This window comes from Homo sapiens, chromosome 16 (assembly GCF_000001405.40).
Source record: "Homo sapiens chromosome 16, GRCh38.p14 Primary Assembly".
Lineage (NCBI taxonomy): Eukaryota > Metazoa > Chordata > Mammalia > Primates > Hominidae > Homo > Homo sapiens.
In genome coordinates this window covers 30390200-30407531 of record NC_000016.10, presented here as the reverse complement: position 1 = coordinate 30407531, position 17332 = coordinate 30390200, and the positions used below count along the sequence as shown (strand labels likewise).

Genomic DNA, 17332 nt, shown 5'->3' with positions numbered 1-17332 from the left:
CCCCACCCCCTGGGGCGGAGCCCGAAGGACCCAGGCGTCCGGCCCAAACGGCTCGGAGAGGGCGGCGAGCTCAGACTTGGCGTCCTCCGCAGTCCCCCGACTCCCAAGCACCTGGAGCCGCCCCAGCCCGGCGTTCAAGGTCCTTGCCGCCGAGTTCCAACCTAACCTCGCGGCCCGTCTCCTGGGGCCGGCTTGGAGGTCTCCGCTGCGCCCAGTGCCTCTGCTCCGCCCGAAATAGGCCACGTGCGCTCCCGCCCCGGCCTGGGCCTCTCCCTGGCGCCCCGCCTGGAGGGCGGACCCTGTTGCCTCCTCACTTCTTCCATTCCCTCTTTATCTCCTCTGCCGTCTTTTCTCCATCTTTCTCGGCTTCGCCTATTCCGCTGGCCTCTGGGATATCCTTGAATACATCCTAACCAATTCAACATCCACCCAAGCTACCGCTGTCGCGTCATGCGTGGGGTGCTTACCATGCGCCAGCGCTGTTCAGCGTCTTACATACCTGGTCTCATTTGATCCGCATAACGATGGGTCCTGATCCATTTTACAGATGAGCTCACTGAAGTTCAGGGAGGTAAACTGATTTGCCTAAGTTACACGATAAGGATGTCATAGCATCCCTGACAATCAGTAGCCTAGGTGAACAACAGCCCAAAGCTAAATCCAGTCCACAGGGGTACCTTGTTTGGCCCTTAGGGTATTTTTACTTTTAAAAAATCTTTTCGGACGGGCACGGCGGCTCACGCCTGTAATCCCAGCACTTTAGGAGGCCGAGGCGGGCGGATCACGAGGTCAGGAGATAGAGACCATCCTGGCTAACACGGTGAAACCCCGACTCTACTAAACAAAATACAAAAAATTAGCTGGGCGTGGTGGCGGGCACCTGTAGTGCCAGCTACTCGGGAGGCTGAGACAGGAGAATGGCGTGAACCCGGGAGGCGAGCTTGCAGTTAGCCGAGATCGCGCCACTGCGCTCCAGCCTGGGCGACAGAGCGAGACTCCGTCTCAAAAAAAAAAAAAAAAAAAAAAAAAAAAAATCGTTTCAAAGCCGGGCGCGGTGGCTCATGCCTGTAATCCCAGCACTTTGGGAGGCGGAGGCCGGTGGATCACTTGAGGTCAGGATTTCGAGACCAGCCTAACCAACATGGTGAAACCCCGTCTCTACTAAAAATACAAAAATTAGCCAAGCTTGGTGGTGCATGCCTGTAATCCCAGCTACTCGAGAGGCTGAGGCACGAGAATTGCTTGAACTGGGGAGGCAGTGGTTGCAGTGAGCCGAGATCATGCCATTGGTCTCCAGCCTAGGCAACAAGAGCGAAACTCCGTCTCAAGAAAAAAAAAATTAAATTGGGATATTTCATATAAAAATAGATTTTTTTTTAGTGGAATAAACAAATGCCACTTCCTTTGAAAAACAGCCACTTCCCTTGAAAAAGCAGATATCTAATTTTCCCATTTTATGAATGGGGCAACTAAGATTCAGAAATCATGAAGGAAAACAGAAATAACATTCAGTAAGTGCTTACAAGTTCTATGTTGTCTCTTTACAACAGCCCTGTTGGGATCAATAATATCTCCATTGGACAAAAGAAGAAACGGAAGCTTAGACAAGTTAAGTAATTTGCTCAAAGTCACACAGCTGGCAAGCAGCAGATTCAAAGCTTGTGCTCTTCTATTGCACCAAATTACCTCTCAGGAATGAAGTTATAAAACTGGCTCTTTCCCAGAGCTGGGAGAAGGGGTCAAATGCCTGGATACTCACACACAGGATCCCCAAAAGCCACTTTGCATTCATTCTCTGAGTTTTTTTTTTTTTTTTTTTTTTTTTTTGAGATGGAGTCTTGCTCTGTCGCCCAGGTTGGAGTGCAATAGCACAGTCTAGGCTCACTGCAACCTCCGCTTCCCAGGTTCAAGTGATTCTCCTGCCTCAGCCTCCCAAGTAGCTAGGATTACAGGCACACACCACCACACCGGGCTATTTTTGTATTTTTTGTAGAGACGGGGTTTCACCATCTTGGCCAGGCTGGTCTCAAACCCCTGACCTCGTGATCCACCCACCTTGGCCTCCCAAAGTGCTGGAATTACAGGCTTGAGCCACCACGCCTGGCCTCTCTGGGTATTTATTGAGTCCTATATACCCGTCACCCTTCTAGGTATGGGGGATGTAGTAGTGAACAAAACAGATAAAAATAGTGGCTCTTGTGACACTACTAAGGGTGCAAACAAATGTACACATGTAAAGAGGAAGATAATATCAGATAATGATAGGTGCAACGGGGCAAATCTGACAAGATGATCCAACAGGGAGCAGCTATGGTAACAGGGGCTTCTTTAATGCAGGCAGGGAAGGTGTCTCAGGATACAATTTTTTTTTTTTTTTTGAGATGGAGTCTCATTCTATCACCCAGGCTGGAGTGCAGTGGCATGATCTCAGCTCACTGCAACCTCCACCTCCCGGGTTCAAGGGATTCTCCTGCCTCAGCCTCCCGAGTAGCTGAGATTACAGGTGCGCGCCATACACTCAGCTAATTTTTTTTTTTTTTTGAGGCGGAGTCTTGCTCCGTCTCCCAGGCTGGAGTGCAGTGGTGCGATCTCGGCTCACCGCAAGCTCTGCCTCCCAGGTTCACACCATTCTCCTGCCTCAGCCTCCCAAGTAGCTGGGACTATAGGCGCCCACCACCACGCCCAGCTAATTTTTTTTGTATTTTTAGTAGAGACAGGGTTTCACCGTGTTAGCCAGGCTGGTCTTGAACTCCTGACCTCAAGTGATCTGCCTGCCTTGGCCTCCCAAAGTGCTGGGATTACAGGAATGAGCCACCATGCCCAGCCTGGATACAATATTTTGTTTGTTTGTTTGAGACAGAGTCTCCAGCTGTCGCCCTGGCTGGTGGACAGTGGCGCAATCTTGGCTCACTGCAACCTCTGCCTCCCGGGTTCAATTCTCCTGCCTCAGCCTCCCGAGTAGCTATGATTACAGGTGCCTGCCACCATGCCTGGCTAATTTTTTGTATTTTCAGTAGAGAAGGGGGTTTCACTATGTGAGCCAGGCTGGTCTCGAACTCCTGACCTCAAGTGATCCACCTGCTTCGGCCTCCCAAACTGCTGAGATTATAGGCGTGAGCCACCGCGCCCGGCCTGGATACAATATTTGAGATGAACCTTGAATGATGAGAAAGGGTTAGCCATTTGAAAATCTGGAAGAAGAGTGTTTGAGACTGAACTGCAGAGGCCTTGAGGCAGAAGCTTGTGTGTTTGAGGAATAGGAAGAAGACTTGTGTTGCTGGATCTGAGCATCCAAGGGAGTGAACAAGGGGAAATGTAGCAAGGGAGATGGAGGAGAGGTAGGCAGAGGGTAAACTTGGCCAGAACCCAACCTCTAGCGAAAGCAAAGCATCTCGCTCTGATTAAGAGAGAATCAGTGAGGAGACTCAGCCAGGAGCCTGTCTCTGGCAGTGAAAGTCCCTACTGGAAGGAGCCTCCTGCTGTTTTAAATAGGAACTTGGAAAAAGAAGGTAAAGGGCTCCATCGATTTGCCCTGCAACCATGTACAGGTATCTACTTGCAATACGATCTAGTTCATGTTCTTGAGGATCTCATAGTCTAGTAAAGAAGTTTTTGGGCCATGCGCGGTGGTCACACCTATAATCGCAGCACTTTGGGAGGCTGAGGCAGGTGGATCACCTGAGGTCAGGAGTTCGAGACCAGCCTGGCCAACACCCCATCTCTACTAAAAATACAAAAATTAGCCTAGTGTGGTAGCGCATGTCTATAGTCCCAGCTACTTGGGAGGCTGAGGCAGGAGAATTGCTTAAACTCTGTCTCAAAAAAAAAAAAAAATAAGTTTTTGGGGCCAGGAGCAATGGCCCATACCTGTAATACCAACACTTTGGGAGTCCAAAGTGGGTAGTCGCTTGAGGTCAGGAGTTCAAGACCAGTCTGGCCAACATGGCGAAACCCTGTCTTTACTAAAAATACAAAAATTAGCTGGGCATGGTGGCACACGCCTGTAATCCCAGCTATTTGGGAGGCTAAAGCATGAGAATCGCTTGAACCCAGGAGGTGGAGGTTGCAGTAAGCTGAGATCGTGCCACTGCACTCCAGCCTGGGCAACAGAGCAAGACCCTGTCTTAAAAAAAAAAGAAGACGGAGAAGGAGGAAGAAGAAGAAGAAGAGGAATAGGAAGAGGAAGAAGAAGAAAAGGAGAAGAAGAAGAAGAAGAAGAAGAAGAAGAAGAAGAAGAAGAAGAAGAAGCAGCAGCAGCAGCAGCTTGTGGGCTGGGCGTGGTGGCTCTCACCTGTAATCCTAGCACCTTGGGAGGTTGAGGCAGGTGGATTGCTTGAGCTCAGGAGTTGGAGACAAGCCTGGGAAACGTGGTGAAACCCCGTCTGTACAAAAATCACCAAAAAAAAGAAAATTAGCTGAGCATAATAGTGCACGTGCCTGTAGTCCCAGATACTTGTGCGGCTGAGGCAGGAGGAGCACTTGAACCTGGGAGGTTGAGGCTGCAGTGAGCCGATATTGCATGCTGCACTCCAGCCTGGGTGACAAAGTGAGACTCTGTCTCAAAAAAAAAAAAAAAAGAAGCTTCTGATTTAAAATAGATCTCTAAATATACAGTATGAGTGATATAAGAAAAGGATAACAGGGTGTTCTAGCAGGAGAAGAGTGGGGTAAGTGAACCACTCTTTCGGGGGTATTAGGTATTTCGTGCTGGTCTCACTGAGAAGGTAACTGTGAAGGACCTTGAAAGATGAGTGGGTGTCAGGTGTGGTGACGCACACCTATGGTCCCAGCTACTTAGGAGGCTGAGGCAGGAGGACTGCTGGAGCCCAGGGGTTCAAGGCTATAGTGCACTATGTGCCTGTGAATAGCTACTGTATTCCAGCCTGGGCAATATAGTGAGAGCTCATCTGTAAAAAAAACAAGCAAACAAAAACTAAAGATGAGTGGGACTTTGCCAGATTGGCAAGGAGGCAGTAGTTTGTGGAAATATATATATATATTTTGAGACAGGGTCTCACTCCGTCCCCCAGGCTGGAGTGCAGTGTGCAGTCACAGCTCACCGCAACCTTGACTTCCCAGGCACAAGCGATCCTCCTGCCTCAAGCCTCCCGAGTAGCTGGGATTACAGTATTTTCTGGTGGTGGCGGGGGTCGTTTTTGTTTTTTGGAGACAAGATCTTGCTCTTTTGCCCAGGATGGAGTGCAGTGGCATGATCATGGCTCACTGCAGCCTCAACTTCCTGGGGCCAAGCGATCCTCCCACCTCAGCCTCCTGAGTTGCTGGGACTACAGGTGCATTCCACCTAATTTTTGTATTTTTTGTAGAGAGGTCTCACTATGTTGCCCAGGCTGGTCTCGAACTCCTGGCCTCCTGGCCTCCTGCCTCAACCTCTCAAAATGCTGGGATGACAGGCCTGAGCCACACCTGGCCTGGAAAGGCCTTTGGATCACAGAGGATTCTTTCCAGCTCATAGGTTTGCTGGACATTTCTCACCTCACTTGTAATTATTTGTTCAATGTCTATCTCCCGCATAAAAACAGGTCAGGGACTTTGTCTTGTTTATCTTTCTATCCCAGTATGCAGCACACAATAGGTGCAGCTGTTGAGTGAGTAACTATCCTCAAGAAGCTCTTCATGTGTTAGGTGCTCAGAGACGGGTTGCTCAGAGAAGGGGATTGTAACTAACCCAGACGAGGGTCAGAGTAGGCTTCTTGGAGGAAGTAGTGCTTGAGGTGTTTTGACAGAGGAGATTAACAAGGGGTGGGTAGTGGTGGAGGAGCATTCCAAGTAAAAGAAACGACATTTAAGGAGCCCAGGGCTGAAACTACACAAATGGAAGGGCTTGAGTGCCAATGAAAGTTAGGCTTTGGGGACAGCATGTGGAGATCCACTGGGGTTTCAATGGGGGAGTGACATGGCCAGATGTAATTTTAGAAAGCAGGCCAGGCACGGTGGCTCATGCCTATAAATCCTAGCACTTTGGGAGGCCGAGGCGGGCAGATCACCTAAGGTCAGGAGTTTGAGACCAGCCTGGCCAACATGGTGAAACCCCGTCTCTACTAAAAATAAAAAAATTAGCCAGGCGCGGTGGCGGACGCCTGTAATCCCAGCTACTAGGGAGGCTGAGGCAGGAGAATCGCTTGAACCCGAGCGGAGGCTGCAGTGAGCCGAAGATCCTGCCACTGCACTCCAGCCTGGGCGACAGAGTGAGTGAGACCCTGTCTTGAGAAAAAAAGAAAAAAGAAAAAGAAAGAAATCAAGAAAAGAAAGTGGCCAGGCGCGGTGGCTCACGCCTGTAATCCCAGCACTTTGGAAGGCTGAGGCGGGCGGATCACGAAGTCCGGAGTTCGAGACCAGCCTGACAAACATGGTGAAACTCCGTCTCTACTAAAAATACAAAAATTAGCCGGGCTTGGTAGCGCGCCTGTAATCCCAGCTACTCAGGAGGCTGAGGCAGGAGAATCGCTTGAACCCGGGAGGCGGAGGTTGCAGTGAGCCAAGATCGCGCCACTGCACTCCAGCCTGGGCGACAGAGCGAGACTCCGTCTCAAAAAAAAAGAAAAGAAAGTTCACTGCAGGTCGTCTTGGAGGGCACACTGGTAGGGAAGGGAGCTAGGAAAACCAGCAAGAAGGAACTTCCAGAAGCCCCAAAGGGCTCCGCTCAGGCCATCAAGAGCCCCAGCCCTGAACGCAGGGTTCTAGGGTTTTGAGAGCGCATCAATTTGGAAAGGGCGGGCGGAGCGGGAGGAGCCGCACTGCAGCCAGCCCTGGTCGGTTTCTAGGGAAGCCAGGCCAGTGCTTACGATCTCGCGAGAACCCGTCCAGGGATTCTTTCCGCACGGAGATCGGGGAGAGCCGGGGGCGGGAACTTGCGACCCTGTACTTCGTTGCCTTCATTGTTTAGCGGGGAGAACCGCCCTGGACTTCTTTTTTCTTTAATCCCTGGCCGATCAGGCCAGTGGTTGTGAAAACGCTAGGGATTGCAGACCTGCTTCCCAGGCCCCGCGGGGCGCCGGGAAATCCGGCGGGCTTTTCTGGGGGTGAAGGAGCACCGTTTGCCCTCCCTTTGGGCTGTGCAGCCGAATGACTCATTTCCCGACGCATAAAAAGGGTCTCGGGTGTCGGGTTTCCCAGGTCCCGGTGGGCGGCGCGCCGGCGTCCGGGCTTTCCACGCCGGTTCCAGACCTGTGGGCTGCCTCCCGCCGACAGCCGTCGCCATAGCAACAACGCCCCCCACACGCCCCCTCTTCCTCCTCCTTGCTGCCTTGTCTCTGCAGCGCCGCGCGGTTTTCCTTTTAAGGGTCGCGCTGGATGCTGTGGCGTAGGTGGTGCCTGCGGGCAGCCAGACCTCAGGCCTGGGGCATCGGCTGATGGAGCTGGCGGCCGTTTTTGAACCAGACGTCGGAGCTAGAAAGCCGCTGACTACGCCAAGACAACCTCTTTATTTAATGGGCTCAGAGAGCAAGGGAAGCACACAAAATTTACAGTCTGAGTTTTGCGCGCAGAGACCCCTCTCCACCTTTTTCATGCCTGTGTGTACACACACACTGTCCAAGCCTCAGAAGAGAAGCCGTTTATTGGTAAAAAGACACATGGAAATGTGGCTGCCAGGCCTCAGAGCATCCTGCCCTTTTCCCAAACAGCTGGCCTCTGCTATCCACCAGGACTTGGGCTTGGCATCCAGGCTGGATACCATGAGAGCACCTTCTGTCTCTGGTCTATTCTGCCAGTGTCTCCGTGTCAGGGTGGGTTGGCTCCCTCCAGGGCACAAAGGTCTGGGCTCTGTCCAAGAGTGCCCCTCCATAGGGGTGGGTACCACCATGCCACACAGCAGTATTTGCCCCATCCGGATGATCAAGATACCCCTGCCTCATCCTGTTACCTTAAATTCCAGAAGCCCCATCTCTGCAGCTCAGAAGGTAAACAAACCCTGGTTCAGGCATTGGTCTCCCAGAGCAAGGTTGGGAGGCATCAGTGGTGCAATCAGCTCACTGCAGCCTCAAACTTTTGGGCTCAAGTGATTCTCCCACCTCAGCCTCCCAAACTGCTGGGATTACAGGTGTGTACTACCTGCCCAGCAAGGGGAAAGTGTCAGTTCTTAACAGATGAGGCAGCAGGAATTTAGGGTTGAGTCCTTAGGTGAAAGCCAGTTTATTTATTCAACAAGTATTGAATGCCTACTGTGTGCTAGGCAGTCTTCTAGAAGCCAGGGGTACAGCCCGTCCTGGCAAGGTCCTGACTCAGCCCAGCCAGGACAGTTTCCTGAGCTTCAAGGTTACTGTCTCCAATCCCTATTTCTATCTATTCTTCCTCCCCTTTCTTCCCTTCCTTCTCCCTCCCACCACCTCCCAGGCCCTTTCTTCTCTGCTAAGCGGCAGAGCCCCTCCCTTTGGTCTCCTGGGCCTCCGCCCTCCCTGGACCGCGTCATTCCAGTCCTGTTGCTGCCTCCTGCTTGAGGGGCCTTGCCCTACCATCCCCTATCCCAAAGGGCGTCAGGACCAGGTGCCCACGCTGGTGCTTGATGCGGGCAGAACTGTCACCAAAACCCTTGCCACACTCTGCACACTTGTATGGCTTCTCCCCCGTGTGTGTACGCCTGTGTTTGACCAGATCTGAGCTCCGGGGGAACTCCTTCCCACAGAAGCCACACACGTGGGGCTGGCTGGGTCCAGAAGGCTGGGCCCGAACTCGGGGTCGAGGGGCCATGGGTACTGGGCCAGGTGGGTTATGTGGCCGCAGCAGAGTGGATGGTGGTGGTGGCCGGGCCCGTTCACCACGGTGGGTGCGGAGGTGCTTGACTCGGGCTGAGCTGTCAGCAAAACCCTTGCCGCATTCAGGACAGAGGTAGGGTTTCTCCCCTGTGTGCACACGATGGTGTTTCACCAGGTCAGAGCTTCGGCGGAAGCCCTTGCCACACTCAGGGCACTTGTGGGGCTTGTCGCCCGCCAGTGGTGGGGGTGGCTCCCCAGCCTGTGGGCCCCCAGGCTCTGGCTCCAAGCCAGGCAGGCCAAAAGGCTCACCCGAGTGTGAGGGACTTCGAGGTGTCAGCGGGGGGCTGGTGCCCAGAGGAGGTGGGGGTGGGCTGGGGATCAGAGCGGGTAGGGGATAGCCTGGGAAGCTGAAGTCCTGGGGCTCCATGTGAGTGAGGCGGTGGCGAAGAAGGGTGGAGCTGAGGCTGAAGGTACGGTCGCATTCCGGGCAGGCATGGGGCCTCTCGCCACTGTGGGTGCGGAGGTGTTTGACTCGGGCGGAGCTGTCCGCGAAACCTTTGCCGCACTCTGGGCAGAGGTAGGGCTTCTCACCCGTGTGCACCCGCAGGTGCTTCACCAGGTCGGATCCCCGGGCAAACTCCTTTCCACACACATCACAGCCAAAGGGCTTGGGCCCCAAGTGACTACGCTGGTGACTCAGGAGGCTGCAGCTGAGCACAAACCTCTTGCCGCAATCAGTGCAGATATATGGCTTGTCCTGGGCCTTCGGTCCCTGGGTAGCTGCCGTGGCTGCCCGAGATGGCTGCCGTCGGGGCACCACTGGTCGGGGGGGCTGCTCCCCCCGGTGTGTCCGCTGGTGCTTGATGCGGGCGGAACTGTCGCCAAAGCCCTTGCCACATATGCCACACTTGTAGGGCTTCTCACCAGTGTGTGTCCGCTGGTGTTTCACCAGGTCAGAACTCTGCCGGAAGCTCTTGCCACATTCACCACAGATAGTGGGGCGCTCACCAGCAGGGATCCGGGACCGAGGAATCTTTGGGGGACCCTGGGCTGGTGGCCGGGCTCTATAGGGCTTCTCCCCACTATGAGTCCGCTGGTGTTTGATCCGGGCAGAGCTATCCCCAAAGCCCTTGCCACAGACCCCACACTTGTAGGGTTTCTCCCCTGTGTGGGTCCGCTGGTGTTTCACCAGATCTGACATCTGCCTGAAGCTTTTGCCACACTCACCACACACAGCGGCCCGATCACTACTAGCCTGGCCCCAGCGTGGTTCACCCAGGAGCCGGGGGCCTCTGTCCCGAGGCTGAGGCTTTCCTAGACCCTCTCTCTGGACCCATAAGTCATCCCAGTTCTGGATGCCTTCAGGTTTGAGAGAGGCATTTCCTACTTCATGATCTGGAGCCAAATCTTCTTCCTTGAACCCCAAGTCATCTTCCTGTGGGGTATGTTCAAACTCATTCGGCTGAGAAATCACGTTCTCACTCCCTAGACCTGAGGAAAGAAAAGGAAGTTGTAGACCCTCCCCTTTGGCTCGGTACTTATCTTTGACAGCAACCTCTCCAGGAAGACTCCCTTGACAATCTGTGGTCACAGGAACCCCAATCTCTCTGTCCTCTCAACCTCTGGTGCACTTACTATCTGTGCCTCTCAATAAAAACTTCTTTTTACTGTGCCCTTAATGTATGTCATTCACCAAACTCAGCATTAGTATTAAACGCTTGCAAACAATACTATAACACTATGACTATCCCCATATTACAGGCATGGAAAGACTCAGAGAATTTAAGTCCTTTTGCTGGAGGTTATAAAGGTTAGAAAGTAGCAAAGCCAGGCCAGCAGGGTGGCTCACACCTGTAATCCTAGCACTTTGGGAGGCCGAGGTGGGTGGATCACTTAAGCCCAGGAGTTAGAAACCAGCCTGGGCAACATGGTGAGACCCTAACTCTACAAAAAAAAATACAAAAATTAGCTGGGCATGGTGGTGCACACCTGTAGTCCCAGCTACTGGGAGGCTGAGGTAGGAGGATCACTTGAGCCCAGGAGGTGGAGGCTGCAGTGAGCTGTGATTGTGCCACTCTAGCCTGGGTGACACAGTGAGACCCTGTCGCCAAAAAAAAAAAAAAAAAAAAAAAGTAGCAAAGCGTGATGTCTAACTAAGGTCTCTCTGACACTCAAGCCCGTGTTAATCCCTACATTATATTGTCTATTTGGAAAACTTGGTATTTGCTATTATTATTGTATCTTATTATATTAGCCCATTCGGTAATTTATTACATCAGTTATCCTGTGTGTACCTGAGAGGACCCAGGCACACATCCCTTCCTCAAGAAGCTTAGGGTGGTAGGAGAGATAAGATTAAAGTATCAATGGTTATAATTGTGGGTGCAGAATAACTAGAATAACTATGTTGTCACAAGAGAGATAGGAGATAAGGAAATAGGAACCGGCATTACGGCAGAGCGAAGAGAAAATAATGGAGTGGAATGGAAGATAAGGTGTCAAAGGATGTTGGGACTAACCTGAGCACGCACGGTTTGGATTGGACACTAGCTAAGGCTTTTAATTAGGAGACTGGGGGACGCTAGGGAAGGTTTTCCAGAAGAGACACAGGATTATATCTGGACTTAGATCAAGCTGGCGAGAGAATGCATCAGTGGAGAGAAAGGGGCAGAGAGGAGGCTACTGCAATTGCCAGGATAAAACAGAATGAAGCCTGAAGTAGGGCAGAGGCAGTAAGGATGAGGAAGGCCGTGAGGGAGGGGACAGAGGCCGTGAAGAGCCCCTCCCGGCCTGGCGCACAGTTGGTGCTCCGAAAGCTCCCCTCCCCCTATCTCCCCAGAGGCACAGCTCACGTCCGATCTTCCAGGATCTCGGCCGGCCACAGCCAAGCATCGCAGTCCCCACCGGCCGTTACCTGTCCGTGGCGGCGCACGGCCGAGGCCCTCACCTGTGCGGGCGCCTCTCTGTGGCTCCCTCTCCTCCGGGCGGTGGAGATCTGGGCCCCAAGGCTCTACCGCGCGCTCCATCGCCGGCACGCCGCCCTGAGCAAGGGGACAGACAGCATCCCGCGGTCACGCAGCCATGTGTGGCCCGCGGCGCCCTGCCGCTGCCCTCTGCCGGCCAGCGCGGGCACCGGGCGGCGTCGGGTCCCAGGTACGGGCGCGGCTCCCGGTGCCCCCTGCCCGCGCCGCCGGCCGCCCCTGCACCTGCTGCTCCTCCCAGCGCGCAGCCGCCGCTCTCACCTTGCCGGCCGCCTCCGGCTCCGCCACCCCGGCGCCCTCCGGAGCTCCTCAGCGGGGTGCAGGCGCCCGAGCCGCCAGCGGCTCCGGGATGCAGGCTCCGCGCCAAGCCGGGAGCGGGCTCGGACCCAGGCGTCCCGGGGGCGGCCACCGGGGGCGGGGACGGGAAGCGGAAGCGCGGGGCCGCACGGAGCCGCTCTAGGACCTTGGAGGAGCTGCGGGCCTGTGGGGGTCGCCCGCGTCGGCGGTAGCTCTGTGGCCGGCGGGCGGCAGCGTGCGGCCCAGGGGCTACTCTAAGCCGAGGCCGGCGGCCCGAACTCGGTGGTATTAACCGTGTGCCTCCTGGGCTGCAGCTGGGTGGTGAGGCCCGAGGCTCTTCGTAATTGTGGCTGTGTGTCTCCAGCCACCCGCGCCGACCTCCCCGGCCGGCCGACAGCGCCAGCCACTCCGACCTGGGAGAGACAAAGAAAGAGGGATCCAAAGACGGACCCGGGGAAAGGGGTGGGGGAGAGACCAAGGCAGACAAAGGGCGGCGGAGACCCCAGACGGGGCGGGGCGGGGCGCCGAGACGTGGGAAACAAAGCGGGGCTGGTCCGAGAGGCCGAGGGCCCGGGGTGGGGGTGGGTATGGAATGGGGGCTGGGCTGGGGAGACCGAGGCAGGAGCAGAGGCTAGAGGCAGACACCGGGTAAATGCTGCTGGAGAGATGGAATCAGACCTGGGGCCCGGAACAGAGACCCTGAGCCAGAGACTCACATCAGAGCCCTGAGTCACAGAGGACGCAAAGGCAGAGAGAGACCGAGGGACAGCGGCTGACCAAAAATAAGGGGAGCCAAAGATTAGCCGCTAGAGACAGAGACGTAGAAACGGATAAGAGATAAAGTCATTGACGCAGAGTCCGAGGAGCAGTAAGAGGCTGGGAGCCTGGAGAGTAACAGGCCCAGAAGCAGAGGAACAAAAGACGATAGTGAGCGAAACGGGCAGAGACAAAGAGAAAGAGACACAAAGAAAGAGGCGGCCAGAAAGACTCCGGACAGGTCGGCAGCCCTATAGAGGCCAGGCTCAGGGAGAGGCTGAAGAACAAGCCCTGTTTCCCATCCTGGTGGGCCCCTGGCTGGAGCTGTGTTTCCAGGTTCCCAGGCCCTAGGAGCAAGATCCCAGTATCCGCTCTCTGGGCGGGCTTGGTTTTGGGGTGGAGAGAGTGTCTGGAGGTGTCTTCAGCCCCTCTGCCAATGATGGTGGGGGTAACTGTGGTTTATGCATTAATTCACATTTATTAGCATCTTAGTGCTAAGCCAAGAGTTGGGGATAAAAAGTTGAAACACCTGCAAGATTTGTCCTTGGAGAGCTACCAGTCTAAAGGAGCAAGTACACAAATCACTGAAATTAGAGAATTTAGCTGGGCCTGGTGGCCTGCCCCTGTAATCCCAGCTGAGAGGATTCCCTGAACCTGGGCATTCAAGGATGCAGTGAGCCATGATCGTGGATCGTGCCACTGTACTCCATGCTGGGCAACAGAGCGAGACCCTGTCTCTTTAAAAAAAAAAAAAAAGAGAGAGAGAATGGGCTGGGCCCAGTGGCTCATGCCTGTAATCCCAGCACTTTGGGAGGCCAAGGTGGGAGGATCACTTGAGGCCACTAGTTCGAAACCAGCCTAGGCAAAAAAGTGGACCTTGTCTCTACAAAAAAAAAACAAAAATTTAGCAGCGCATGGTAGCACATATCTGTGGTCCTGGCTACACTGGAGACTGAGGCAGGAGGATCACCTGAGCCCAGGAGGTTGAGGCTGCAGTAAACCATATTTGTGACACTGCCCTTCAGCCTGGGTAATAGAGCGAGACCCCATCTAAAAAAAAAAGAGAAAGAAAGAGAGACTGTTAAGGTAGTTATATGGACCCGGCCAGGTGCAGTGGCTCACACCTGTAATCCCAACACTTTGGGAGGCCGAGGCAGGTGAATTACATGAGGTCAGGAGTTTGAGACCAATCTGGCCAACATGGTGAAACCCTGTCTCTACTAAAAATACAAAACTTAGCAGGGCGTGGTGGCACGGGCCTGTAATCCCAGCTACTCAGGAGGCTGAGGCAGGAGTATCACTTGAACCTGAGAGGCGGAGGTTGGAAAGAGCCGAGATCACGCCACTGCATTCCAGCCTGGGTGACAGAGTCAGACTGCGTCTCAAAAAAATAAATAAATAAAATTTAAAAGGCCGGGTGTGGTGCCTCACACCTGTAATCCCAGCCCTTTGGGAGCCAGAGGCAGGAGCTCACTTGAGGTCAGGAGTTCCAGACCAGCCTGGCCAACATGGTGAAACCCCATCTCTACTAAAAATAAAAAAATTAGCAGGGCGTGGTGGCAGGCGCCTGTAATCCCAGCTACTTGGGAGGCTGAGGCAGGAGAATCACTTGAACCCCAGAGGCGGAGGTTGCAGTGAGCTGAGATCGCGCCATTGCACTCCAGCCTGGGGGACAAGAGCGAGACTTCATCTCAAGAAAAAAAAAAAAGAGTTATATGGACCAATTCACGATAGTGTGGGAGAACAGGAAGGGTTCTAGTTTGTAGTAATGAATCTCTGTGTGCCTGGCATGCATGGATGTTAGCACTGACAGAAACAGGGACCAGAAATCAACACATACCTATTGATCACTAGCTAATACCTAAACACTGTCCTAGGCCCTGGAAATAAAGAAACTCTTCAGGGAGCTCTTGGCCCAATAGGATATGGAGTTGTCAGATGGTGTGACAGGTTCTATATTGACTGTATGGACAAAATTTTATAGGAGTGTAGCGCACAGAGATACCTTCTGTAGTGTTCAGTGGGTGCAGATACTGTCTTTAAAGCCATTTATGCAGAGTGTGGTTCTTGGCCTTTGTCACTTAATTGCTACTTGACTTTAGGGAAGTTACTTAAGCTTCTGTTTCCCAAACTGTAAAATAGGGATGATAACAGCTAACTTTGATGGTTGAGGATGAATATGTGTAAAGCACTTAGCAAAAGTATCAGCTATTACTCTAATTGGTTTGATTTCGGCAAAGTCCAGACTCTGCCTGGAGTGGGGGCTGAATGAACAACTCCAGGCAGTGGGGGCTGAATAAACAGTGGGCCACATACTAATTGAAAACCTAATATGGGCCAGGCATGGTGGCTCACGCCTGTAATCCCAACACCTCGGGAGGCTGAGGTGGGCAGGTCTCTTGAGTCCAGCAGTTTGAGACCAGCCTGGCCAACATGGTGAAAACCCATCTCTAAAAAGATACAGGGCCGGGGGCGGTGGCTCACTCCTGTAATCCCAGCACTTTGGGATGCCGATGTGGGTGGATCACGAGGTCAGAAGATTGAGACCATCCTGGCTAACACAGTGAAACCCCGTCTCTACTAAAAATACAAAAAAATTAGATGGGCGTGGTGGCAGGCGCCTGTAGTCCCAGATACTCAGGAGGCTGAAGCAGGAGAATGGCGTGAACCTGGGAGGCGGAGCTTCCAGTTAGCCGAGATCGCGCCACTGCGCTCCAGCCTGGGCGACAGAGCGATACGCCGCCTCAGGAAAAAATAAAATAAATAAAAAGATACAAAAAAGTTAGCTGGGAGTGGTGGTGCACACCTGTAGTCCCAGCTACTTGGGAGGCTGAGGTGAGAGGATCTCTTGGGCGCGGGAGGTGAAAGTTGCAGGGAGCTGAGATCATGCCACTGCACTCCAGCCTGGGTGACAGAGCAAGACCCTATCCCACCCCCACCCCCCCGCCAAAAAAAAAGGAGAAAGAAAAGGAAAGAGAAAGAAAACCTTAGGCTGGAATCAGTGGCTCACGCCTATAATCCCCACACTTTGGGAGGCTGAGGCAGGTGAATCACCTGAGGTCAGGAGTTCGAGACCAGTTTGGCCAACATGGTGAAACCCCATCTCTACTAAAAAATACAAAAATTAGCCAGATGTGGTGGTACGCGCCTGTAATCCCAGCTACTCGGGAGGCGGAGGCAGGAGAATCGCTTGAACTCGCGAGCCGGAGGTTGCAGTGAGCTGAGATCACACCACTGCATTCCGTTCTGGGCAACAGAACAAAACTCTGTTTAAAAAAAAAAAAAGAAAAGAAAAAGACTGCCAGGAGCAGTGGCTCACGCCTGTAATCCCAGCACTTTGGTAGGCTGAGGCGGGCGGATCATGAGGTCAGGGGTTGGAGACCAGCCTGACCAACATGGTGAAAACCTGTCTCTACTAAAAATAAAAAAATTAGCTGGAGGTGGTGGTGCTCACCTGTAATCCCAGCTACTCAGGAGGCTGAGGCAGGAGAATCATTTGAACCCGGGAGGCAGAGGTTTCAGTGAGCAGAGATCACTGCACTCCAGCCTGGGCGACAGAGTGAGACTCCGTCTCAAAAAATAAAAATAAAAGAAAACCTAATGTGTGCTAGAAGCTTGAGATCCAAAGATGACTATGGATTACGACCTATCTTCAGAGAGGAAAATAGAGAATAGTTCCGTTTTAATGTGCCGTGAGTTTACATATTAGGAAAGCAGTGAAAGATGAAGATAGAATGTAAGTTTATTCGGCCGGGCGCAGTGGCTCACGCCTCTAATCCCAGCACTTTGGGAGGTCAAGGTGGGCAGATCACGAGGTCAGGAGATCGAGACCATCCTGGCTAACACATTGAAACCCTGTCTCTGGCCAGGCGCGGTGGCTCACGCCTGTAATCCCAGCACTTTGGGAGGCTGAGGTGGGCAGATCACGAGGTCAGGAGATCGAGAGCATCCTGGCTAACACGGTGAAACCCCGTCTCTACTAAAAATATAAAAAAAAAATTAGCCAGGCGTGATGGCGGGCGCCTGTAGTCCCAGCTACTCAGGAGGCTGAGGCAGGATAATGGCATGAACCCAGGAGGCGGAGCTTGCAGTGAGCCGAGATCACACCACTGCACTCCAGCCTGGGCGACAGAGAAAACTCCATCTCAAAAAAAAAAAAAAAAAAAAAAAAAAAAAAAAAAAAAACCCGTCTCTACTAAAAATACAAAAAATTAGCTGGGCGTGGTGGCAGGTGCCTGTAGCCCCAGCTACTCGGGAGGCTGAGGCAGGAGAATCACGTGAACCCGGGAGGGGATGTTGCAGTGAGCCCAGATCGCACCACTGCACTCCATCCTGGGCGACAGAGCGAGACTCCGACTCAAAAAAAATAAATAAATAAAAATAAAAAAGAATGTAAGTTTATTCATTTGTTCCACAAACATTTCCTGGGTATCCATCAGGTACTGGGCATTTGTGCTGGGAAATAGAAGAGGGTATAAATGGTCAGCATGCCTGCCATATTCATTTGCAGAGCTGCCTAACTCTGACTTTGAGAGGACAAATCCTATAGTTATTAGATCTGAACTTGAATTAATGTCTAAAGATATA

General features: G+C 53.0%; 1 protein-coding gene across 5 annotated transcripts in view, besides 6 other annotated features; it reads right to left on the bottom strand.

Annotated features, from left to right (window-relative positions):
- Positions 23-202: a silencer, noted in NCBI's record as "fragment chr16:30418651-30418830 (GRCh37/hg19 assembly coordinates)". NCBI's record gives its function as "represses an EF-1alpha promoter that drives an FKBP-Casp9 reporter gene in an ReSE screen in both phorbol 12-myristate 13-acetate-treated (for megakaryocytic differentiation) and untreated K562 erythroleukemia cells {active_cell/tissue: K562 | K562(+PMA)}" and the evidence as "EXISTENCE:reporter gene assay evidence [ECO:0000049][PMID:32094911]".
- ZNF48 (zinc finger protein 48) overlaps positions 7424-17332 on the bottom strand; it is a 21797-nt gene continuing 11888 nt past the window's right edge. The window contains exons 1-3 of one of the 5 annotated variants that reach the window (NM_001214909.2): positions 11954-12112; positions 11659-11752; positions 7424-10202 (exon numbers count right to left, since the gene is read on the bottom strand). In NM_001214909.2, coding sequence (NP_001201838.1) covers positions 8425-10202; positions 11659-11737 — 1857 coding nt within the window. In that variant the 5' untranslated portion in view covers positions 11738-11752; positions 11954-12112 and the 3' untranslated portion in view covers positions 7424-8424. Of the gene's footprint in view, positions 10203-11658; positions 12113-17332 lie in introns of those variants that run through there. The other 4 variants (NM_001214906.1, NM_152652.3, NM_001324494.2 and 1 more) reach the window with 4 other exon arrangements.
- Positions 8216-8759: an enhancer, noted in NCBI's record as "H3K27ac-H3K4me1 hESC enhancer chr16:30410094-30410637 (GRCh37/hg19 assembly coordinates)". NCBI's record gives its function as "activates a minimal SCP1, AML or CMV promoter by ChIP-STARR-seq in primed H9 embryonic stem cells {active_cell/tissue: H9 hESC(primed)}" and the evidence as "EXISTENCE:reporter gene assay evidence [ECO:0000049][PMID:30033119]".
- Positions 11094-11690: an enhancer, noted in NCBI's record as "H3K27ac hESC enhancer chr16:30407163-30407759 (GRCh37/hg19 assembly coordinates)". NCBI's record gives its function as "activates a minimal SCP1, AML or CMV promoter by ChIP-STARR-seq in naive H9 embryonic stem cells {active_cell/tissue: H9 hESC(naive)}" and the evidence as "EXISTENCE:reporter gene assay evidence [ECO:0000049][PMID:30033119]".
- Positions 11661-11920: a silencer, noted in NCBI's record as "silent region_7368". NCBI's record gives its function as "represses an Ori minimal core promoter by ATAC-STARR-seq in GM12878 lymphoblastoid cells {active_cell/tissue: GM12878}" and the evidence as "EXISTENCE:reporter gene assay evidence [ECO:0000049][PMID:35858748]".
- Positions 12011-12200: a silencer, noted in NCBI's record as "silent region_7367". NCBI's record gives its function as "represses an Ori minimal core promoter by ATAC-STARR-seq in GM12878 lymphoblastoid cells {active_cell/tissue: GM12878}" and the evidence as "EXISTENCE:reporter gene assay evidence [ECO:0000049][PMID:35858748]".
- Positions 13692-14192: an enhancer, noted in NCBI's record as "H3K4me1 hESC enhancer chr16:30404661-30405161 (GRCh37/hg19 assembly coordinates)". NCBI's record gives its function as "activates a minimal SCP1, AML or CMV promoter by ChIP-STARR-seq in naive H9 embryonic stem cells {active_cell/tissue: H9 hESC(naive)}" and the evidence as "EXISTENCE:reporter gene assay evidence [ECO:0000049][PMID:30033119]".